The 24,232-nt window shown below is 43.8% G+C and overlaps 2 protein-coding genes across 5 annotated transcripts in view, besides 5 other annotated features; one reads left to right on the top strand and one right to left on the bottom strand.

Moving 5' to 3' along the window:
- On the bottom strand, positions 497-15,494 carry LOC124901232 (translation initiation factor IF-2-like). Its single transcript, XM_047419613.1, has 3 exons — positions 15,477-15,494; positions 13,342-13,860; positions 497-13,109 (listed from the first exon to the last, which is right to left on the bottom strand). Exons 1-3 carry the CDS (start codon positions 15,492-15,494, stop codon positions 12,210-12,212), a joined length of 1,437 nt encoding a protein of 478 aa, XP_047275569.1. The 3' UTR covers positions 497-12,209.
- Positions 11,370-12,242: an enhancer, noted in NCBI's record as "H3K27ac hESC enhancer chr6:151712707-151713579 (GRCh37/hg19 assembly coordinates)". NCBI's record gives its function as "activates a minimal SCP1, AML or CMV promoter by ChIP-STARR-seq in primed H9 embryonic stem cells {active_cell/tissue: H9 hESC(primed)}" and the evidence as "EXISTENCE:reporter gene assay evidence [ECO:0000049][PMID:30033119]".
- Positions 12,224-12,283: a silencer, noted in NCBI's record as "silent region_17687". NCBI's record gives its function as "represses an Ori minimal core promoter by ATAC-STARR-seq in GM12878 lymphoblastoid cells {active_cell/tissue: GM12878}" and the evidence as "EXISTENCE:reporter gene assay evidence [ECO:0000049][PMID:35858748]".
- ZBTB2 (zinc finger and BTB domain containing 2) overlaps positions 12,255-24,232 on the top strand; it is a 27,445-nt gene continuing 15,467 nt past the window's right edge. The window contains exon 1 of one of the 4 annotated variants that reach the window (NM_020861.3): positions 12,255-12,394. The gene's annotated coding sequence lies outside the window, so the exon portion shown is untranslated. Of the gene's footprint in view, positions 12,395-12,779; positions 12,935-13,641; positions 15,598-17,309; positions 19,288-24,232 lie in introns of those variants that run through there. The other 3 variants (XM_005267076.4, XM_011536004.3, XM_047419188.1) reach the window with 3 other exon arrangements.
- Positions 12,294-12,683: a silencer, noted in NCBI's record as "silent region_17686". NCBI's record gives its function as "represses an Ori minimal core promoter by ATAC-STARR-seq in GM12878 lymphoblastoid cells {active_cell/tissue: GM12878}" and the evidence as "EXISTENCE:reporter gene assay evidence [ECO:0000049][PMID:35858748]".
- Positions 12,764-13,693: a silencer, noted in NCBI's record as "silent region_17685". NCBI's record gives its function as "represses an Ori minimal core promoter by ATAC-STARR-seq in GM12878 lymphoblastoid cells {active_cell/tissue: GM12878}" and the evidence as "EXISTENCE:reporter gene assay evidence [ECO:0000049][PMID:35858748]".
- Positions 18,193-18,352: an enhancer, noted in NCBI's record as "active region_25281". NCBI's record gives its function as "activates an Ori minimal core promoter by ATAC-STARR-seq in GM12878 lymphoblastoid cells {active_cell/tissue: GM12878}" and the evidence as "EXISTENCE:reporter gene assay evidence [ECO:0000049][PMID:35858748]".

Genomic DNA, 24,232 nt, shown 5'->3' with positions numbered 1-24,232 from the left:
CTGATGGACATATTTATCTGCAGTTAACAGTGCTAGGATAAACATCTGATGTCTTCCAGCGAGAGTTCTTCAGTAGCTGTCTTCCATTTGAGGTACCTACCTGTATGCCAAGGGTACCCACAAAAACTCTCCAAGGAGCATATAGGCACAGATAGTCCAAGAATTGCTTTTTAGGATGTGCATGGTGGCTCACGCCTGTAATCCCAGCACTTTGGGAGGTCAGGGTGGGAGCACTGCTTGAGGCCAGCAACCCTGTCTCAAAATAACTTTAAAAATTGCTTCCTAGATCAAGTTCCAATTTTCATAAAATCAACATACCTGTGTGCACACCTGCAGTGTATCCTGCTCTTCCCATCTTCCCTTATCACACTTACAGAAGCGGCGTCTCTCACCTATCCTCAATAGTTTGGTCCACTACATTCAATAACCTTTAAATACATTAAACCTATTTGTCAACACTTTTGGGAAGCCACAAAAACAAAAAAGGACAATTTGGAAGATTGGTAAATGCAGCCTCCTTTAATTGAAGCCATTATGTTTTCTCCCATTTTTTTTAGGAGGTACAATTCCAGTGAAATTTTACTGCAAGTATCAATGTATGCAATTTGCTGTTTTGGTCAACTAATCAGTACTAACAATGTGAAAATAGTCCAGAAAAAAACCATGAACATTTGATGCCTTATGATTACAGCAAATTAAACATTTCAAGTTATATACAAAAATTTACAAGAAATGAAAGGATCATCAAAAGAGGTTCATAAACATTTATTAGCATAAAGTGTTGTAGAGGAAATGTAACATTTTCAAGAAGAAAAACTTGTATTTGCATAGTTCACCTATGTTTACATGGATCATGGTGGACATCAGCTCAATACACTATTACAATGCACTAAATTACAAGGGCTTTCCTTAAAAGTGATAAAGCAGCTTTATTTTAAAATACCAGTATTTACGATACACTGGCAATTACATCTTTTTCAACTAATTTTAGGATTTAAAACTTCAAGTTATGAAAGTTTTAAAGAATTGTTTTAGTTGTAACATAAGTAAAAACTTTTAATTACTTAATAAAGTCAAAACTTTATTAAGATCACCACCTCTCTAAGAACAAAATGACCAAGAAATTACACAGAGTATTTAGAGCCTAAAGTAAGTACATTCACCACTGGCTCCCAAAGTCCTCAAAGTGGTATCTAATTTCTATCACACATGAGAGCTCACTATTAAGACCAATCTGGATTTGAATTCTTGTTTCACCACCAATTCTTGCTGTTATAACCTTGGGCGAATCACTGAACCTCTTGGGCCTCAGTTTCCTCATCTGTGGAGTAGGTTTAATTATTAAACTATCTCTCAGGTTGCTGTAAGGATTAATGAAATATGTGTGAATAGGAGGGTTTAATTATTAACCTATCTCACAGGGTTGCTGTGAGGATTAACTCCCAGATGAAATGGAGGCTAAATCAAATTCCCAGGATCCATCTTTGAATCTTTAAGAAATATCACAACTGAAACTTACAGAATAGATGTTACTGAATCCTGCACTGGAACAGAATGGTTAACTTAAATATAGCAATATTTTGACTGTATAAAATAGGGTGGCTCCTCAGTGCAAGCCCAAAAAGACTCTTTTAAAAACTACACATTTTTGCATATACCAAACAGCGGTGGCCAACAGGTATTCTGGGGTGCCTTCTTGGATAACCATAGCAGTCAGATGCAGACTTTTTTTTTTAAACACATAAAATCAGTATCTTTCTAGTTTTACCATTTTAAAAATAAACCATATTTGCCTATTTTAAATTACTGTCCTGTCTACTATCTAAAGCAGGTCTTCCAAAGTATGGTCCTCAGACCAGTTGCATCAGCAAATACTCAAGACTGTCCATTAATATTACTAACTCCTGAGTTCTACACCACACTAAATCAGAACGTCTGGGGCCGGAGCTAGGAAAATCTGTTTCTTCTAATTCTCCAGGAGACTCCTATGCTCCCTAAGCTCTGAGAAGCACTAACTTAGTCTATGTATTGGTTTACACTCAGGTTACACAGATTTTAAATAATTCATTAGCACTCTCTTGCTTACCAAGTACTAATCTCAAGTGACTCAGTTCTCTCTTTCACCAACCCAATCTCCTCAGACCCTGCTCTATGCCTTTACAAAGTGCCTGTGTTGGGAGAAGGTGATGTGTATGAGAAGTAGAGGGAATTTTTCCAAATCCAAATCTACTCTCACTTTCAGCTCTCTCCACTGGTTCTGAATTGCCATTTTAAAGGAAGGTTTAATGTCACCATTCTAAATTCCCTTCCCTCATAGAGGGTTAATGAAACAATTTTTTTTTTTGAGAGTCTCACACTTTCACCCAGGCTGGAGTGCAGTGGCACGATCTCGGCTCACTGCAAGCTCCGCCTGCCTCCCAGGTTCACGCCATTCTCCTGCCTCAGCCTCCCGAGTAGCTGGGATTACAGGTGCCTGCCACCACACCCAGCTAATTTTTTGTATTTTTAGTAGAGACGGGGTTTCACCGTGTTAGCCAGGATGGTCTCGATCTCCTGACCTCGTGATCTGCCCACCTCGGCCTCCCAAAGTGCTAGGATTACAGGCGTGAGCCACCGCGCCCAGCCTTTTTTTTTTTTTTTTAAGACAGAGTTTTGCTCTGTGGCCCAGGCTGGAGTGCAATGGCGCGATCTCCGCTCACTGCAACCTCCGCCTCCCGGGTTCAAGCGATTCTCCTGCCTCAGCCTCCCGAGCAGCTGGGATTACAGGTGCCCACCCCCATGCCCAGCTAATTTTTGATATTTTTAGTAGAGGCGGGGTTTCACTATGTTGGCCAGGCTGGTCTTGAACTCCTGACCTCAGGTGATCCACCCGCCTCAGCCTCCCAAAGTGCTGGGATTACAGGCGTGAGTCACCACACCCGGGCAACAAAATTTTTTAAAGACCACATTTTCACTTCCTCTGAACAATATCAAACAAAACGTGGACTTTTAAACGTTTTTAAAACAAAATCTTTCCACATCCCCTAGACTGTTAAAATAATCTGGGAAGCATGCAGCATTGTAAAACTGACTCATATTCATTTTCTCATCCAATTCCACAATTACTTATTAGAACTTATGATGGGCTGCTCTAAGATCTAAGACATAGTGGTAAAGATGACACATAGGGCCCCTGGCTTTCACAAAGCTTACATTCCAACGAAGACATCAGGAAAACTAAGTAATCTGCTTATAGACAGATGCTCTATAAAGAAATCTAGGGCTGGGCGTGGTGGCTTATGCCTGTAATTCCAGCACTTTGGGAGGCAGAGGCGGGTAAATCACCTGAGGTCCGGAAATTGAGACCAGCCTGACCAACATGGAGAAACCCCGTCTCTACTAAAAATACTAAATTAGCCAGGTGCGCTGGCATGTGCCTGTAAACCCAGCTACTCAGGAGGCTGAGGGAGGAGAATCGCTTGAACCCAGGAGGCAGAGGTTGCGGAGCCGAGATGGTGCCACTGCACTCCAGCCTGGGCAACAAGAGCGAAAATCCGTTTCAAAATAAAAAATAAAATCTACACAAGAGGTAGAGAGGTGATGTGAAAACTCAGGAAAATGGAACAGACTAGTTAAGGAACTTACAATATCCTTAAGATTTAGACATCACCAGTTGAATTTAAAAACTCAAAACAGAGATTCTGGTTAAGTAGAAACTTGACTTTTAATCTAGCTTCTACACACAAGGCTTGGGAAGTTGCTTATTCAACAATTTAACAAAAATTAACGATGTAATTCCAATCAAATCTAAACCTCTAGCCACAAAACCTTAAATTCAAGGTGCTGATCTTAATCTAAAAAACCTCATGTGGTTTGGGTTCTGGTTACCTTAGAGATTTGACTCTAAGCACCCAAAGGCAATTAAGATTAGATGAAATACTTGGCCGATGGTTCACTACTGAAACCTGATGAACTGGAATCCTCTGATTTTGTGTGTCTCTTTTCAGATAGGGTGACCAACCATTCTGGGGTTTTGTTTGTTTGTTTGTTTTTCAGACACAGTCTCAGTCTGTCACCCAGGCTGCAGTGCATTGGCACAATCTTGGCTCACTGCAAGCTCTACCTCCTGGGTTCAAGCGATTCTCCTGCCTCAGCCTCCCAAGCAGCTGGGATTACAGGCGTGCATCACCATGTCAGGCTATTATTAGAGACGGGGTTTCACCATTTTGGCCAGGCTGTTCTCAAACTCCTGACCTCGTGATCTGCCCACTTCAGCCTTCCAAAGTGCTGGGATTACAGGAATGAGCCACGGCGCTTGGTCCCATTCTGGGTTTGACTGGGACCAAGGGGTTTCCTGAGAGCGGCCAGACTTTCACTGCTAATACTGGCAAAGTCCTGGGCAAACCAGGACTGGTCACGCTATCTTCGGCCACATTTTAGAAACTGATATTTTAACAGCCACCTTTTTCAACTCTGGACTTTGTGGCAACTCTACAGAGCTTTAATATGGATCAACTACTAAAAACAAGAACCTTCCCTAAAGAAAAGCATGTTAATGTCACACATGGTTTTTACCAATCAGGTGGAAGCAGTAATTTTTCCCTATATATTTTACCATTTATTTTACTTTTAAACACAAAAATCCTGAGCCAAACACTACTTGAAGAACTGTTAAGGAATTCAGATTCACGTTTAGGAAATAATGATTCAAAATTAAAATGTCTTTAAAGATCAGTTTTCAACGACTGATAGATGTAACAACTTGGACAAATCGCTCTCAACCCAATCTGGCTGGGTAAAGGAAGCCAGTGTGCAAAGGCGACATACTGTGTAATTCCATTTATGTAACATCCTAGAAAAGGTAAAACTATAGTGATGGACAACAGATCGGTGACAGCCAGGGGTTAGGGGTGGAAACAGCACAGGTCTATAAAGACAGCAAAATAAAGTGATAGACCTGGCCTATATTCTCGTGTTGGTGATTACAACAAATAAATACTATGTTAAAAATCACAGAACGGTATACTGAAAAAAAAAAGTCACTTTTACTACATAATTCTAAGGTTTTTTTTTAAATCAGTGATGATTTCAAAAATATACCGATTTTATCATTTACTGAGGTACTGTGCTACGGCCCCCCTCCTGTTTTTATGTTCACCCAATGTTATGAGATAATTACTATTAACCCTATTTGAGAAGGAAAACTTGAGGCTCAGAGGTTCAGTAACATGCCCGAAGCCATACAGTGTGTAAGGGACGGACCATAATTCCAACCCAGATCTGATTCCAAAGGCTATATTCTCAACCACTACCAAACACTACACTCTCCCCCCTCTGTTCATAAATATCAACCACTCTATCCCTCCCAATGACAATATCAGGAGGCTATTGTTTCCTAATTCTATTCTGAACTCAATACACTATTGATAACGTGAAAATAGGGAGAAGCAAAACATGATTCTAGAGCAGTGATGTCCAACTGAACTTTCTCCAATAATAGAAATGTTTTATATTATCTGTGCTGCCCAAATATGGTAGCCTCTAGCCACAGGTGGCTACTCAGCACACATGGCTAGTGTGACACTGAGTTGAACTGGACAGCACAGTTCTAGAGAAATGATGTGACAAGAATGTACATGTCACAGAAGGAAACAATTTATTAAATTATGATGGTAACTCACCAACGATAAAAGGAAAATAATTCAAGGGAGATGTATAGTAAAGGAATGAAGCTAAGAAATGCACCACCCCCAAAGCACATCACAAAACTAAGTCTATCTTTTTTTTTTTTTTTTTTTTTGATACAGAGCCTCGCTCTGTCACCAGGCTAGAGTGCAGTGGCAACATCTCGGCTCACTGCAACCCTCCAACTCCCTGGTTCAAACGCTTCTCCTGCCTCAGCCTCCCGAGTAGCTGGGATTACAGGCATGCACCACCACGCCCAGCTAATTTTTGTATTTTTAGTAGAGACGGGGTTTCACCATGTTGGCCAGGATGGTCTCGATCTCCTTACCTCAAGTGATCCACCCGCCTCGGCCTCCCAAAGTGCTGGGGTTACAGGCGTGAGCCACCGCACTTGGCCACTAAGTCTATCTTCTGAACACCTGCTCACCGACCAAGATTCAGCTTAAAGTTATCTACATACCCACAGCACTCTGCACATCTGCAGTATAGAATAAATTGTACTAAGTATCTGTGTTTTTCTCCCCCAGTGGACTGTGACCACCTGAAGAGCAGAGATAGGTATTCATATATGCACCACTAGCATCCAATACCTATACGCAGATGTTTTCTGCAACAATAAACACCTTTTTCACTCAGTTCGAGTGGGAAAATGATCATCTTAGATCCTTTAACTACAAATTCAACTCAATTCTGCAAGCAATTGAGTACCAGGAGTGTACATAAAAAGAAGTACCTGCCCTCAGGGAGCTTACAGTGAGAGTGAGAGATACAAGATATAGGGAGACAAGTAACAAGCAAAAAGGGTAATCAAAATTAATTGTGTACAAACAGTACTTTAGGTCAGAATAGAAACAGTCAGGAATCATAGTGGTAAGGGAAAACTGAAAAATGATTTAAGTAGCCATTATCCGGCCAGGCGCAGTGGCTCATGCCTGTAATCCTAGCACTTTGGGAGGCCAAGGCAGGTGGCACACCTGAGGTCAGGAGTTCGAGACCAGCCTGGCCAACATGGTGAAACCCCATCTCTACTAAAAATACAAAAATTAGCCGGGTGTGGTGGTGCACGCCTATAATCCCAGCTACTCAGGAGGCTGAGGAAGGAGAATCACTTGAACCCGGGAGGTGGAGGTTGCAGTAAGCCAAGATTGTGCCACTACACTCCAGCCTGTGAGATGGGAGTAAGACTCCATCTCAAAAAAAAAAAAAAAAAAAAAAAAAAAAGTAGCCATTAGCCCATTCCGTGAAGCAAAGGTGTAAGATAACTTATTGTATCCCAACCTATAATTTAGAAAAGCCTAATGGATTAAAAAAATTTTTAAGGAAGTCTTTAGAAATTTATCCTGCCTTCGCTCACTACCAATGTCATCCTATTCCTTTTATCACTAAGCTAAAACTAGTCTTAGAACAAAATCCTTCCAGATCCAAAATTTCTATGAAAATTTCACAGCATAAAGAAGTGTAGTCTTCTTTACACTTAAATTCTCATCATCTTTAAGTCACAACATCCTTTTGGGTTCTCAAAATGTGCTAATTGGAATTAGTTTGCACAGTACATCTCATAGTGAGTATACAGGCAGCATCTGGAATGGTCTATTCAAAGTAGTTTGAATTCATTTAATAAGTACATTTCCTGTTTCCTCTAAAAATGAACAGGAGGGGTGCTAGTATGAGGAATCTAGACACCAAGCATTATCTGAATTTTAAAGTGTATTATAATATGGAGGTCTGCAAACTAGAAGACTGGCGAACAGTTCTACAGTGTAACTTCTTAATTTTCTCATCTTTATCAGCTCACATGTTATTCATGACAAAGGTCAGAGAAAATTTGTGAGGTTTTCCTAGACTGAATGACCTTGGGCTGCTTAATTACTTAAATTCTTTGAGCCTGCTTTTTCAAATTGAAGACTGAGAAGGAAGTGTGACTAGATGCCCTCAGAGAAAAAAACTGACTTAATTAACTAAGATAATTACTTATAGGTTGATTTCAGCATGGCTTTTGGTGCAATCCTAACTCATCTTTAAAATGGAAAAACAGGCCAGGGTGGTGGCTCATGCCTGAAATCCCAGCACTTTGGGAGGCTGAGGCAGGTGGATCACCTGAGTTCAAGAGTTCGAGACCAGCCTGGCCAATATAGTGAAACCCCATCTCTACTAAAAATACAAAATTAGCCGGACGTGGTAGGGGGCACCTATAATTCCAGCTACTAGGGAGGCTGAGGCAGGACAATCACTTGAACCCGGGAGGCAGAGGCTGCAGTGAGCTGAGATGACGCCACTGCACTCCAGCCTGGGCGACAGAGCAAGACTCCATCTCTAAATAAATAAATAAATAAAATATAAAGTGGAAAAACATATAAATGTGGCAGCTATTAAACTATGTCCATAATTCTTTGATACTCATCCCCTGAGTTTGGGCTGGACTTAAGTGACTTCTTTTTAATAGAATATGGCAGAAGTGATGGTGTGTGGCCTCCTCTCTGCTCTTGCTTGAATCACCTACTCTGCGGGTAGCTAGCCTTCGCCACTGCTTGAGGACACTCAAGCAGTCCAATGAAGAACTTCCACCATCAGCCATAGCTGACTTGCCAAATGAGAGCCACCTTGGAACCTCATGAAAAACCCTGACCCAGAACCACCTAAGTAAGCTACTCCCAGATTCCTGACCCACAGAACCTACATGAGATAAACACAAGTTTATTGCTTTAAACCACTAAGTTTTGGGTTAATTCGTAACAGCAAGAGAACACACCAGTATTTTTTAAATAGTGGGTCCTGACTCATTAGTGGTTGAAAAAATCAATTTAAGGCAGCAATATCAACTTTAAAAAAATGAAATAGAAGATAGCAGAGTACATCACTCTTAATACAAGTACTACTTCGTAAAAATTTTGTTTGTTTTACATGTATGTCTATACTAGGTGCAATTTAAAATGTGTTTCTTACAACCACAGCTGAAAACATTAAAACCCACAAGTCTAACCAGTAGGTTTAAAACAAAAAGCTCCCTAAAGCATAGGGAGTTCCTTGAGGGACTCTCATCTCAATAACAACCAACTATAAAACAAGCATTTTCTATAAACTTTATGACCAAACCAACGAAATGTAAGACACTCTCACAATACATCTTTTCCTATGTATATGCTAAGCTTGATACACAACACACAGGGCATGGTTATCTGCCCTAGAGTTTAATGTCTAACATGTAAAAGTACGCCATTTTCCTAATTTAAGACATTACTCAAAAGGACTTCCTTCATAAAATTAGTGAAAAATGCTGCTTTGGACTCAAACCGCATTTATTTTTTCCTACTATTATTTTTTTTAAATCAATGTTAAATTCCACCTTCAACCTAAGCGCGCGCACACACACACACACACACACACGAGATCTAGTACTATTAAATTTTCTGAGCTGGGCACAATGGCTCACACCTGTAATCCCAGCACTTTGGAAGGCCGAGGCGGGTGGATCACGAGGTCAGGAGATCGAGACCATCCTGGCTAACACTGCGAAACCCCGTCTCTACTAAAAAAAAAAAAATACAAAAAATTAGCCGGGTGTGGTGGCGGGCACCTGTAGTCCCAGCTACTTGGGAGGCTGAGGCATGAGAATCGCTTGAACCCAGGAGGCAGAGGTTGCAGTGAGCAGATATCGCGCCGCTGCACTCCAGCCTGGGCGACACAGCGACACCTCGTCTCAAAAAAAAATTTTTTCTGCTCATTGTCCAAGTCTCACTGGAACTATCCTCTTCGGAATACAAGCAAGTGCATATTTTCATGGTTGTGTCTCAGCAGAACACAAATCAAAACTTTCAGCAACACCAGACTCTGCAGAATATTCATGTATAACTTTTGATGAATCCACTCAGATTGCTTGCACTGTGATTTTCTTTGAAGTAAAAAGTGTTAAAACTATTTTTGAATTCCTAATTTACCAGATTCTCAAAATACCAAAATAAATTGGCACATAATTAAACAGCGATTTAACTTTTTTTTTTTTTTTCCTTTTTAGAGACTCTGTTGCCCAGACTAGGGTGCAGTGATGCGATCATGGCTCACTGCAGCCTCGAACTCCTGGGCTATATGCGATCCTGCCACCTCAGCCTCCCAAGCTGAGACTATAGACCCACACCATCACGCCTGGCTAATTCTTTTTTTCTAATACATGGGGTTTTCTTACATTGTCCTGGCCGATCTGCAACTCCTGGGCTCAAGCAATCCTTCCGAAAGTCCTGGGACTACAGGTGTGAGCCACCACGCTCAGCCTTTTTTTCCTTATTACTGTACTAGGGACATTTGTGGCTTTTCCACAATGAGACTTAGTAGAGAAATGACAGCTTCCCTTGGCCCTATCCTGAAATACACTAACTAGCTCTTCTCTGCCAGGGCTACCGTTTTCTCCCTAACCTTTGCAGATGTATGTATCCATATAAATGTTTCTATTTCAACAAACTGTAGAAAGTATACAGTCTGTACAGCTCCCCTTATAATGCTATTACCTGATGATCCTGACTACAAGTTGGAATTATCTGCATACTTGGCAAAATTCAAGTGTGGCTGCCTATGCCTCGAGAGAATGAGCAGCAAACCAGCCCAGTCCTAAATTCGAATAGCAGCTCTTAAAGAGAATAGGATGCTCTTGATAGGCTTTCTTTAGGACTGATATTCAATTTCTGGGCTTACCCCTGGGTTTATTTCTACAAGCCTATATAGAGTGTAACGCTAGAAAATATTCAGTGATGTTAAAAATAAGCATAGTTACTTTGACTCAAGACCAATTACTCTACACACACAGGCAAATTTCTGCCCAATGGTCTCAAGTTTAGCATTAGTTTTGCCCACTTTTTCTTTTATTCTTAAGTCAGTTTCACTCTTCACATGAGCACTCCACCAACACCATAAGGTTGAAAATTTTCAGAATGGAATTCCAAAAGAATTAAGAACCTACAGATCTCTAATTACAATTCTCTACAAAACAATCAACATCATTTTAGTTCCCTAGTAAGATGAGACAGACCTCAATACTCAAGCCAATCCAAGGAACCAGGCACCAGTCTGAAGGCCAACTTTGATATTCCAGTGACAGCGGTGCAGTAGAATACTTAGATCAGGGTCAGAATTTGGTTTTGGAGGCAGACATTTACCCACTAAAGTCATTTATCTAGCTGATCAAAAAACAGGAAAGTTCAAAGCGAGTATACACTGAATCTATTATCCATTTGAGAGCCACTGAAGCTACACAGCTGCTTATTTTGTCTTCAAAGAAGGAATTAGTCATCAGTACCTGCAGGTATAACTGGATTTCTAAATCAAACTCAGATTTTTAGGAGGGACACTTCTATGTATTAAATTGTCTTAAGATGGTAAGCTTGCCTTAAATGATTTGTAAACTATGTGCCAGGCATTGTGCTAGTGGTCAGACTGTGTAAACCAAAATGGGTTAGACATCACAACCAAGTTAGCATGCCTTGAAACCAGAGTATCCTAGAAACTGCTGCCTCCACTTCCTTAGGAATAAAGCCATATCCTTTCTAAATCTCAAAAAATCCTAGATGTGTAAAGAAATCATTAAATTCTAGTCCTCAAAGGACTGTATTTCCCCAAAAAAGACACGGATTCTAGAAAAATGGCAACAACCAAAAAGTAAACTTTAAAATGTTAAAAATGACCATCAGGAAATTCTAACTTCCCTGCCATGTTTCCGTGTTTCAGGATCTCCCCGTTAAAAGATTTTCCACACCTCTAAATCTAACAGAATAGCCAACTCTGGAATCCATACCTCAAAGACCAAAACCTAACAGGAGAATAAACTGTTCTCTTAACAAACATGCGTTGCAGACTTTCATTTTTGGGGGGGCCAAAACTTCAAAAACGAAAATCGTTGCTGAAATAACCATGAAATTCAACCCTAACAGAAACATCTTACGCCGCTCAACTCATCTGCAAGGTAAAGGAAGCACCTCTGCCTCTGTGCACGCTACAGGAATCTGTACTTCAGCATGACTTTCAGTTACCATTGGTGACACAAAGATACTGCTGGTTTACAGTATCTCCCCGGTTCTAAAGGCCACTCCATTTCAAGTCTTAAAGATTAAAACAAACACGAAAAGTCAAGGGACAAGGGTAAAGGCCAAGAGATCTCAAGCAGAAGCCGGCAGAAGGATACGAGCAGTGGCTCTCCATCTCTACCCCGAGCATCTCAAGGACTTGTGCTACCTAAACACTTTATGTAAACAAGGGGCTTGTGACTCAGGCCTCCAGCCCCAATAGGTGGAGAGAAGTTTCCTCGCCTCGGCTGCACATGGTCTGCAGAAGTTTGGCTGGAGCAGAGCGCGGAGCCTGGGTGGGAGCGGCAGTGGAGTGCTGCAGGCGGCGGCGGCGGCGGCAGAGCAGCAGGAGGCGGAGGCGGGCGGGGGGAGGGGAGCGGCTGGGGGGGGGGCGGAGGGGGCTCTTGCCGCCACTGCTCTCTCGCCGCCTCTCCCCCCCGGCGGGAGCCGCTCGCAGCCTCTTTGCACTAGTCTCTCCGCTCTCTCGGTCATGTGACCTTAACGTAACCGGACAGGAAAAGCCCCGCCGCCGCCGCCGCCGCCGCGCCGGAGACACCGACCGCGGCGGCAGCAGCAGCAGCAGCAGCGAGAGGCAGAGGCGGCGGCGGCGGGGAGGACAGCACGGCCGAGGCTGCCCAGAGGCGCCTCCTCCACACCCCCCGCCGCAGCAGCACCGGCGACAGGTAAGCGCGCACCGCCTCCGCCTCCCGGGGCCGGTGCCCACGTGCCACCCCCAGCCCAGGGTCCGGGAAGGCGGTGGGGGGGCGGGGGCCACCGGAGCTCGCAAACGGTTCCGGCAGAGGCGGTGGCAACAAAGACGACGAATGACCCTCGTACCAGGGCTACGGGTGCAGGCAGGCGGAAGGCCCGGGCCACTCGGGGACCCGGTTCTGGGAAGCGAGGGCAGGGGCGCCTCGCGGGGGCGGCGGCGGCTGCGCCTGGCGCCGGGGCTCTGGCCGCTTGACAAAACCATCCCCCGGAGCCAGGCGGCGGCGAGTCGGCGGCGCCTCCATCCGGGGTTTTGTGGGAGGGGGAGGGGACGGAAGCCGAGAGGGCGGGCGGCGGATCGGAGGGAGGGTGGGAGGGAGGAAGGGGAGGGGGGCGATTCGCGTTCGGTTCCCCGTGGCCGGTCCCTCCCTTCCCGCCGCCACCGCGAAGTGCGCCCTGGGCGGCGGCGGCCGGTGAGCGTCCCGCGCTGGAGCCCTCAGAGGCGGGCCCGTCAGGTGCGTAATCCTTCCGACGCCTCGCCGCCGCCTCCTGCTGCTGCCGCCGCTGCTGCTTCGGCGGCAAGGCCGCGAGCTGCGGAAGTGGGTTTGGGGGAGGGGAGGGAGGAGGGAGGGGGAGGGGAGGGATCCGGTCCGACCGGAGCAGGCCCGGCCTCTCTGGCGCTTCTCCCAGCTGCAGCGGCTCCTACAGCTGCTGCCGCTACTGCTGCGGCTCCGCCTCCCGCTCGCGGGCGGGGGCGCGCACGCGCGCTTCCGGCCTCCTCGGGTCTCGCGCTGTCTCCGGCTCTCGCGCGCGCTCATCCCTCTCCCTCTCTCCCTGTCTGGGCCACCCCCGCCCCCGGCGCCGGGGCTGTTGCGCCGGCCGGGGCGTTGCGCACGGCGTAGGCGTCGGCATTGTGTTAAACTCCGCGGGACTTGGGGCGAGCGCGCGCGCGCACGCGGGACTGAGGGAAGCGGCGAGCGTGCAACGCGGCCGGAGTGCGTCGCCCCTCCCTCCCCCTCAGCCCCTCGGGGACGGGGACAGGGAGGGGGCGGGGCCGGCGAGACCGGAGGGGGCCAGAGGGCCCCGGCGCCGCGCCCCCGGCCCCGCCCCGGGGCGGGTGGGACGAGGTGGCTGTTGCGGCGCGCTCAGGCGGGCGGGGGACGCGTCGGCCTCTGTGGCGCCGCCCTTGTCGCCTGCTCGCTGAGGCTGCAGGCCGGGCCCCAGTCCCGGGTACGGAGCGTGTTGAGCCGGCGGCCTCCAGCTTCCGCCCGACGCGCCATCTGCGCCTGCGATACAGCCCGGTTTGGCCCCGAGCGCGCTGTGCTTTCGGCTGCTTAGCCTTGGGGCGTGGGACCCGCGCGGCCCTCACGCCCCAACCGGACTCCAAGGCGGGGAGGCTGCTTCCCGGGGCCGGCGTCGTTTTCTCGGTGTAGCGAAACCTCTAAACCCTTCTTGTTTAAACAAAGCCGCAAGAGAGAACTTTTTAGCCAGAAGCTGCAAAGGAAGCTGGGTTTTGCCGCTTTTAGCTGGTAGTAAAAGAGGCAATAAAGAAGCGAGGGTAGCAGAGCAGGCGAGTGCCTGGGCCGGGAGAAGCTGCAGCTACGCCTTTTACTGCAGGAACTTCCACCCGAATACGTGAACTCCTAATTATGCCTTGGGGATATAACCCGGCTCTCGCTCCCCGCCTCCCCCAGCTGCATTGTTCATTAGCTCTTTCATCATACAATGGGTCCACTGAGTTTGTGAGCCTTGATTCTATTCATTTTATCAGGGTATTGTTTTAGTAAAATAAAGCATAAAGAAGGTCAGAATTATCAGAACTCCAGGGGGTCTCTGGGTTTGCTTAAACGCGCTGCCCTGTCCTTGCTAATGTAAATCATCCATCTATGCCAACCCCGTTGGAGCACCAGGGCGAGTTGTACACACCACTAGCGTTTTAGTGTGGGAGTACCCTGAACGTTTAATAGAGAATTGGGACTGTGCCATTTTAATTCTCATTTGACTGATTTATCACAAACCAAAATTATAAATTGGTAAGGTAAATTCCACTGCATTTTGAATGATCTTGTTGTGTATCCAGGATGTTTTCAAACTGTTAAAAGGTCATTTTTTTCTTTTTTCTTTTTTCCTTTTAGTAAGAGGCAGGGATCTCGCTATGTTGCCCGAGACGGTCTTGAACTTCTGGGCTCAAGTGATCCTCCCGCCTTGGCCTCCCAAAGTGCTGGGATTACAGGGGTGAGCCACCGCTCCTGGACAAGAAGGCAGTTTTTAAAGGCATAGTAATTTACCACTAATAGGACATCCTTTTAAACTGGGCATTTCTCATTTAATAAACTTGTGGTTTGTTTGCTAGACAAAGAATTGTCCAGTTATTGAAGCCATCGTAAGTACAAGAAGTGATACGCCGGTGCCACTGATGGTCAACAGTGGAGGAGCAGTCTACACTACAGTGGAGTGTAGTCTACGCCCCTAAAACTTTGTCCTACAGTCCCAGTGCATACTTGCCAGTTTTAAAGCTTCTCTTCAAAGGGGATGTAAATACGTTGATGCTGAGCAATCTCTACCACTAGCAGCAGAGAATAAACGCTAATCATGTTTTAAGTTATAGAATAAAAGCTGCCACGGTGACACCTGCTTTTATATCTTAAACTTTAATATCAACTTTTCAGTAACCTCCAAAATCTGCACTTTTATAAGATAATATAAAATAATAGAAAAATGTGTTCATGGCCAGGGAAAGTGGCTCACGCCTATAATCCCAGCACTTTGGGAGGCCAAGGCTGGAGGATTGCTTGAAGCCAAGAGTTCAAAACCAACCTGGGTAACATAGATCCCACATCTCTATTAAAAAAGAAAAGAAAATGTATTCACCCCAACCCCATAGATATACTTTGCAATCCTGTGATTTCAAGTACCCACAGCATGCCCATGAGTAAGTGGATGTGCTTTCCCCAATTTGAGACTTACAAAATAGAGAAGGAAATATCTAAAGCTCATCTGTAGCATCGGCCTGGGATCAGCAGCTTTAGAGGTGGGAACTGCCCTTCCAGCTCTTACTGTTTCTTGGTGCTTCATTCCTAGCCCCACTCACCTTTCCCTGTAGGAACTTGGAAAAGCTGGGCAAGTCCCGTGGCACCAGCCTGCACAGGAGAGGAAGATTGAAAGAACTGGTTTGCTGGTAATTTTTTTACCATAAAATACCAAATGCACCTGGGAAAGGTCATTTATCATCACTTTTCCTATTTTCTTATGCTCTTTGGCTCTCCAAACATGACTGAAAACCTAAAAGGGAACTGAACATTTTTATTTCCCTGAAGAAAAAAAAAAAATGTAAACATTCTAAGCATTAGACTAAGAATATTTCTAAAACGTTCTTTATGCTCAAGTAGGTTATAATTTGTGCTAGCAAATTAAACTATTAAATAATTAAAATATTACTTCGAATTGATAGTAAATAAGATTCAGTATTTTTACAATGCCGATAGAGCCATTAAGATATGGAATCAGTAGCCACAGAACCCTTACAAGGAGTTGGCAGCCCAACATATGTAGATCCATTTTAGAAGCCAACTTGGAGGCTCATATTTATGCTCAAACTCATAACCCCCAGTTCACATGCTTGAGGTATGCATCACATGCCTTTGAGTGTCACTTTAAGAAAGTTCAGTATTCAAAGATAGGAATTTGAAAAATACTTTTATGTATCTGGCTAAGTACTTAGGGAAACTACTTTTTTACTTTTGTTAGAGATTTTAGTGTACTGTTCTCTTAAACAGGGGGCACTCGCTAAGTTCTGCACCAAGCAGGGTAAGCGTCAGAATCCTCTGGAATGAAGTGCGCATGTTCTCCTGCACCGGGAGAGTCATTTAGGTTCTCTGAGTCCCCAAAGTGATTCTGAACGGCGCTTGTCTAAGTGTGGTCTGCAGATCCTTTTGAAGCCCCAGGATCCTTTCAGGATTCAATGAAGTCAAAACTGTTGTCACAGTAATACTAAGTTGTTATGGCCTTTTCCGCTGTGTTGACAAAATGTCTTCTCAGTGTTGACACTGAGAAGATCTGCTTAATTCAGTGAGCCGATATTTTCCAAATGACCAACAGATGATGTTAAAAATCATGAGTGGGTAAATGATCCGTTGAAAGTGGATAGACCAATGAATATTACTATAATAGAGTAGGAAAAGTTAATTCAGTTATGTAGTTTTATATTACACAACCAACTTTTAAGAAAGTAGACTTGTCAAGTGTTGGTATAATATAAAAGAGGACTGTCCACAATTACCTGAAAAGGCTATTCAAATATATCTCCTTTTTCCAACTACATAGGTGGGTGAGGCTGGATTTTCTTCACTACTCAACCAAAACAGAGTTAATTGAGGAGTAAATGCAAAATCCAGTTGTCTTCTGTTAAAGAGAATTGCAAAAATATAAAAAGACACCACTTTGTTATTTTAGAAAATACAATTATTTTTTCATAAAAATGTTCTGTACTTTAACATGTAATGGCCTTATTGTTTTTAATTGAATTAAATATTTCTAAAATTTCTCCATTTTGGTAATTATCAGTAGTTAAAATCCATATAAACATATAATTGATGTTCTTAATAATTTTTAAGACCATTAAGGGATCCCAACACCAAAAAGTTTCAGAAGCTCTGCTCTAAAATATTGAAACATATTATTAAGACTTTGAGTTAAACACATTTGAAACTCACCTGTGTTATATACCCTGAACTACACATTTAGGTGATTATATTTTCTTCAGATTAATTTTACTAATCATTTTATGGTATATAAAAAACAAAGGCAATCTCCACTCTGGTGGATTATTAGAAGCAGATCAGTTTTTTGTTGTTGTTGTTTTGAGACAGGGTCTCACTCTTTCATGCAGGCTAGAGTGCAGTGGCATGACCATGGCTCACAGCAGCCTCAGCCTCCCTGGCTCAAGCAATCCTCCCACCTCAGCCTTCTGGTAGCTGGGACCATGGGCACATGCCACCACATTCAGCTAATTTTCTTTTTATAGAGACAGGGTCTCGTCATGTTGCGCAGGCTGGTCTCCGGGGCTCAAGTGATCTGCCCGCCTTGGCCTCCCAAAGTGCTGAGATTACAGGGGTGAGCCACTGTCCCAAGCCCAGATTAATTTTTTAATTTTGCCGTGTGTAATCATCTGTAAGTTTCCTTCAGGTTGATTGTAGCATAATGCCTTTAGAATTATTACTTTAATATGAACTCGTTATTAGCCATAAATCTCTGATCTACTTCTGTTTGACACCTAAGATGTCCCTGAATTGCCTCCTTATGACCCCAACTTACATTTGGAAACTAAAAACTAATTTAAGTGTAAACATAGGGAAAATATAATTGAAAACAGGAGTATTTTACAAATGCAGTGCTTTTTAATATGAAAATAAGTGCTGTTTATGCCTCTCTCTTTTCTAATTACTATGGAAGAAGGTTGACTAAGGAAATGTTAAGAAAAAAATGCCACTCCATTATCACAACTAAATAAGATGCATTTTCTACCTTCAAAATACAGTTTTAAAATGTATTAAAATTCAAATGACCAGCCTTCAGGTTTACTTCATGGGCCCTCCAATATTAATTATTAATAATAGTAATTGAAAAATCAGCTTTTCATCCTAGTAAGTGGTCTAAACTACTTGAAAGAATCAATCTTACTTGTGGGTAATGCCTCTGCTGTTACTGATTGTCCTTTGAATTACAATATTCATTTATGCTTCACTTAAATAAAATCAAGGACTTCAGAGGACCCTTTTAGTGCCCTTGAAATGGGTAGTGTAAGTGGTGTTTAGTGTCTTAGAACAGCTATTATCTTTAAAAACTGAATCAACAATTTCCACAAGCTGTTTTGATCTCCTATTCTTACACTGAAAATGAAGGAGGAACTTAGGTTGTCAAAATACAACATAATTGTATGTGCCCCATTCTTCTGCACTTCTAAAAGGATGAGTGAGTTGCTTACGGATCAGCCCACATGTGCTCTGTGATGAAAACTGAAAGCAAGTGACAGCTAGGTGGTCAATGTCCTGTTATCAAGGAGGAAACAGTGGCAATGAAAACCAAAGCATTAAATAATCTGAAAGGTCATTTGTATTTGGCTCTAGGAAGTGTTTTTTATTTTTTCAACATGAGTATGTCTTATAGTCTCTGAATTTACTTAAGAAAAGTAAAAGCTTTGTACACATACATATACAGAAAGAAGGCATTCCATGAAAACCCATTTATAGGCACTGCCTCCTCTCTCCTGTGCTACTTTTCTTCAGTTCCTCTCAGCTCACTATTCTAATTTAGAAAAGACAAATGACTTGTTTTTTATTTAGTTGGGTTTTTTTTAAGTTCATATACAGTGTTAAATGGTTAGGGATTTTACATAGGTCTTCAGTTTCATGTCTTGATTGTCGGCCCTTTGTGACTGCGATCAGTAAGAACTTTTAGGAATGCTCTGTAGGGCAAGGTAGTAGAGTGGAGACAACATGAACTGTATGCCCAGAAGACCAGAGTTCAATCCTGACTCTTATTTGTTGATAATTTTAACCTCTCTCAACTACAGTGTAGTGATTTAAGGACATGGTTTTTCTGAAGACGCAGACAATTCACAGTCAGGACTTCCAAGCTCCAGACCAGTGTAACCAACATATACTCTGCATCTCCACTTGGTTATCTCAAAAGTATCTCAAACCCAACATGTGTGAACCTAACCTCTTGCTCTTCCCGCCAAATTATTATTTGCCCTGTGTTCCCTCCTGTTGGAGGGCACCAAGATCTATGCGGTTATACAAATAAGAAGTCTAGGAAGTCATCTTGGACACTTTGATCTGCTCCATTCTCCTTCATCTGACTCAACCAGGTCTGTTGATTTTTTACCTTCTAAATATCTTTTGAATCCTGTCAATTTCCTCCATCTTTCTCAGTACCACCTGGGTCCATCATCTCTTTTGTAGACCACTAGCAGTTGTCTCCTCTAGACCACTTTCCAGCAGGTCTTCACTTGCCCGCTTGTTACCCCCTCCTCCCCAGCTTGATTAGTTCCGCAGTCTCTACATTGTAGAGATCTTATCAAGTCATCCTGCTTAAAATCCTCTTGGGTGGCTTCCCATTGCTTTTAAGATATGGACCAAAATCCTTAACATGACGTCTGTCTCCATCCTCGTTATTCTCTGGCTCTCTACCCTTCCGGGTTATTGTGAATTATAAAGCACTATTCAGAAATTAATTATTAGCATGAAGAAACACAAGGTAGTATTTTTAAATGGAAAAATTATTCCAAAACAGCAGGTGTTAAATTGATGAGAATTTTTTAGGTCAATCTAGGATAACTAGAAACTCAACTTCTACCCTCAGTCACCCAGCTGGTAAGAGGCTGAGCCTTGACTGGAACTCAGCACTCTTCTTCTCCCGGAGCATCTGCTTATTAATTTACTTAACAAATACTAAACCCTAGGCCATATACAAGGCACTGGGATAAAATAGTAAATGATGAGGAAGATTTGTTGCCAGCTTTCCAGAAGCATCAGGCAAGGTGTATAAACTGGCTCGTTCACACATGCACCAGGGCAAGGAGATTATGAGGGGCAGGGGCAGGGGCAGGGGTATGTGTGTGTGTGTGTCTGCCTGTCTGTCTGTCTGTCTCATGGTCAGTTCCTCTGAAAGCAGCATATTCAAAATCCTGGAGCAGAGGTTCTAAGCCTGTGTGCAGATGGGACCCCTCTCCCCTAACCCTTTAGAGTTCAGGCTGCCAAGCTGCCCAGCCTCGAGAGTGAAGCCTTTGAGCAGTAAGTATTGTACGCTGTCAGGAGCCAAATCATCACCAGGGTGTTCAGGACCTTCTGGGAGACGAAACTGCCATTCCTTGGCTTAGCTTAGCTTATCCAGAAGTCCCAAAGTGAGTGAAATAACATCATTTTGTCTCCATTATCAATATATTCAAATAAAACTGAATTTTTAATAATCCTTGTATTTCAAAACAAGCTGGACCCTTGATGATCCATTCGTAGAGCTCACCAAACTGACAATTGCATATAATTAGCTGGGCAAGGTGGCATGCACTTCTAGTCCCAGCTACTCAGGAGGCTGAGGCAGGAGGATCACTTGAACCCAGGAGTTCAAGACCAGCCTGGGCAACATAGCAAGACCCCATATAAAAAATTAGATACAGGCCTGGTGCGGTGGCTCACGCATGTAATCCCAGCACTTTGGGAGGCCGAGGCGGGTGGATCACGAAGTCAGGAGTTCAAGACCAGCCTGGCCAACATGGTGAAACCCCGTCTCTACTAAAAATACAAAAATTAGCCAGGTGTGGTGGGTGCCTATAATCCCAACTACTTGAGAGACTGAGGCAGAGAATTGCTTGAACCCAGGAGGCAGAGGTTGAAGTGAGCTGAGATCACACCACTGCACTCCAGCCAGAGCAACAGAGTGAGACTCAATCTAAAAAAAAAAAAAAAAATTAGATACAACTTAATGTATTAAAGTAACATTTTATGTTGTAATTTGTTTGCATTAGAAAAATATTTTTTCAGGGCAAGGTCCAGTGGCTCACGCCCATAGTCCCAGCACTTTGGGAGGCCGAGCGGGTGGATCACCTGAGGTCAGGAATTCGAGACCAACCTGGCCAACATGGTAAAATCCCGTCTCTACTAAAAGTACAAAAATTAGCTGGGCATGGTGGCAGGCGCCTGTAATCCCAGCTACCCGGAAAGCTGAGGCAGGAGAATCGCTGGGGGAAGCGGGTAGGTGGAGGATGCAGTGAGCCAAGATTGCGCGCCATTTCACTCCAGCCTGGGCAACAAGAGCGAAACTCTGTCTCAAAAAAAAAAAAAGACCAGGCGCAGTGGCTCATGCCTGTAATCCCAGCACTTTGGGAGGCCGAGGCGGGTGGATCATCTGAGGTCGGGAGTTCGAAACCAGCCTGACCAACATGGAGAAACCCCCTCTCTACTAAAAATACAAAATTAGCCAGGGGTGGTGGCACATTCCTGTAATCCCAGCTACTCTAGAGGCTGAGGCAGGAGAATTGCTTGAACCCGGGAGGCGGAGGTTGTGGTGAGCTGAGATTGCACCATTGCATTCCAGCCTGGGCAACAAGAGCGAAACTCCATCTAAAAAAAAGGAAAAAGAAAAGTATTTTTTCATACATAGTCATGTACCCATAATAAGATTTCAGTGAATGAAAGACCACATGTACAACAATGGTCCCATAAGATTATAATACCATATTTTTACGTAAGTTTTTTGTGTTTAGCTGTTTAGATACACAAATACTTACCATTGGATTATAATTGCCTACAGTACAGTAACATGCTGTCCAGGTTTGTAGCCTAGGAGCAGTAGATTACCATATAGCCTAGGCCTGTGTAGTAGGCTATACCAACTAGATTTGTGGAAGTACCTTTAGGATGTTCGCACAATGACAAAATTGCCTGACGATGCATTTCTCAGAACGTATCTCTGTTGTTAAGCAAGGTATGACTGCATTGAATATAGTGCCACCTGCCCTTCCTCTGGGAGGATAATACTGATACTGTGTCATTTCTGTGTATTTATGTGTAAGAGCCTACCAGGTTTGTGAATGTTTTGTGTCTTTGCTGGCAAAATAAAGAGGGAGCAACACTCTGTTGGACCCTAGTTTAGAGGTTTGTTGTTTTTAGTACGTCTGTGAAATCAGAAAGCCTGGAAAGCATTAGTTTAGGTTAGCACCAGAGTATGGGATGCAGAGTAAGCAACTATTAGATGGTGCAGGACCCTGGAAGAGGTGCAGCGGCACTGGGATTTTATCCTAGTGGCAGTAAGGAACCACAGAAGGATTTTATTTATTTATTTTATTTTTATTTTTATTTTTATTTTTTATTTTTTTTAGATGGAGTCTCTCTGTGTCACCCAGGCTAGAGTGCAGTGGCATGATCTTGGCTCACTGCAACCTCCACTTCCCAAGTTTAAGTGATTCTTCTGCCTCAGCCTCTTGAGTAGCTGGGATTACAGGCACTCGCCACCATGCCAGGCTAATTTTTGTATTTTTAGTAGAGACGGGGTTTCACCATGTTGGCCAGGCTGGCCTCAAACTCCTGACGTCAGGTGATCTGCCCGCCTCAGCCTCCCAAAGTGCTGGGATTACAGGCGTGAGCCACTGTGCCCGGCCCACAGGAGGATTTTAAGCAGGTGACATCAGGTTTGCCCTTTCGCAAGGTCATTCTGGCTGTTGTGTGGTGGATGCATGAAGGAGGCCAAAACTGGAGATGGAGAGATGAGTTGGGAGGTGAGGCTAAAGGTGTGGCAGGAGGGTAAAGTTTCAATTAATGGCAATTGGGGGCTGATGTGAGGAGTAAGAGAATGGAGCCCTGAGGATGAATTGAGATTTCTGGTTTGGCCAGAGGGTGGAAGCAGGGCCCTGCACTGAGCCAGGAAATAAAGAGGGAGCAGATTTGTGTACCTGGTTTTTATTGTCCTTTGGGGTAAATGGCAGTGAGAGGACAGGGAGGTATTGAGTTGAGTTTTACCTAAATCAAGTTTAAGGTTCCTGGGGGACAGCCAAGGAGAAGTGAAAGAGATCACCAAAGAGGCTACAGAATGAGGAGTAGGCTGGGGACCAGGCGCAGAGGAGACCAGCAAGTGGAACCCCTGGATGGGGATTAAAATAGAACAGCCTGTGGTGAGTCGAAAACCAGAGAGCTGCAGCCTGAAAACCAGAGACCAAAGATTTATCAGAGCGGGAGGAAGAGTACAAAATGCCGCCAAGAGGCTGAGTAAGCCACTGAGTCCCTGAGGCTGGGGAACAAGGTCCTTGGTGATCTTGGTGAGCAGAGCCGGGCGGGAGCTGGCCTGGAGGTGGGAAGAGCAGACAGCCATTCCCACAAAAGAGGGGCGGCCTCAGCCAAGCCATCCACGAGGATGCCAGGGCCCTAGCTGGCGTATTTTGGGCCAGTTAAGCCTCATGGAAATGAGTATGAAGGGAAGCCGTGATGAGAAAAGAGGAAAGAAAGATTTAAGAGAAGTCAGTACTGTCACTGGGCAGGGGCCAGGGTGGAGCCCATAGTACCTTCTCCACCCTTTTGCCCCATTTCCTCAGGCAGTTCACATATGGAACAGTCTAGGGGTTTTGGTTTTGGTTTTCTTTTTGAGAAAGGTTTTTTGGTCTCCAAAAGAAGATTTTTTTCAAGTTGATCTGTGTGAATTTTCCCCCTCGTGAATTTTGAACATGCGACTTGTTCTGTTTTTCTGCTTTTTCATTTTTTTTTTTCATTTCTCTGGTCATGCGCATGTATTCTTTCCTCTGTATTTGAATGCTTATGTTCAGTGTGTTTCCTGATCTAGGGGATGTTCCTAAATTGACATTCTAAAATAACTAGTAGACTCTCTTAAATTCCTAAATTGAGATTCTAAAATAACTGGTAGACTCCCTTAAAAAATATTGAGCGTTTCTATCATGACTTCATTCTTATGGTCTGAATAGAATGCTTATGTTAGTCCGTTTGTGGAAAGAGAGGGAGCCATATAGTTTGCTATATTGAAGGAAATAATATACACCCATTCATGTAAAAACCAAAACCTCAAAATCCTCCTATAAAATATTGACAAATTTGATGGCATTAAAACATAAAATTGTGTTTGTCAAAATCTCTATAAACAAATGCAAAGAAAGTGAGAAAATTATTAGAACATATGTGACACAGGGCCTATTTTCCTTATATACAAAGAGTTTTATAGATTTCTTTTTTTCTTTTTTTTTTTTTTTTTTTTTTTCAGACAGGGTCTCACTCTGTTTCCCAGGCTAGAGTGCACGCTAACATGGCTCACTG

The sequence above is a fragment of the Homo sapiens genome, chromosome 6 (assembly GCF_000001405.40).
Source record: "Homo sapiens chromosome 6, GRCh38.p14 Primary Assembly".
In the NCBI taxonomy this organism is placed as follows: Eukaryota; Metazoa; Chordata; class Mammalia; order Primates; family Hominidae; genus Homo; species Homo sapiens.
Note: the sequence above shows the minus strand (reverse complement) of the source record. Positions and strands in the feature narration are given on the sequence as shown.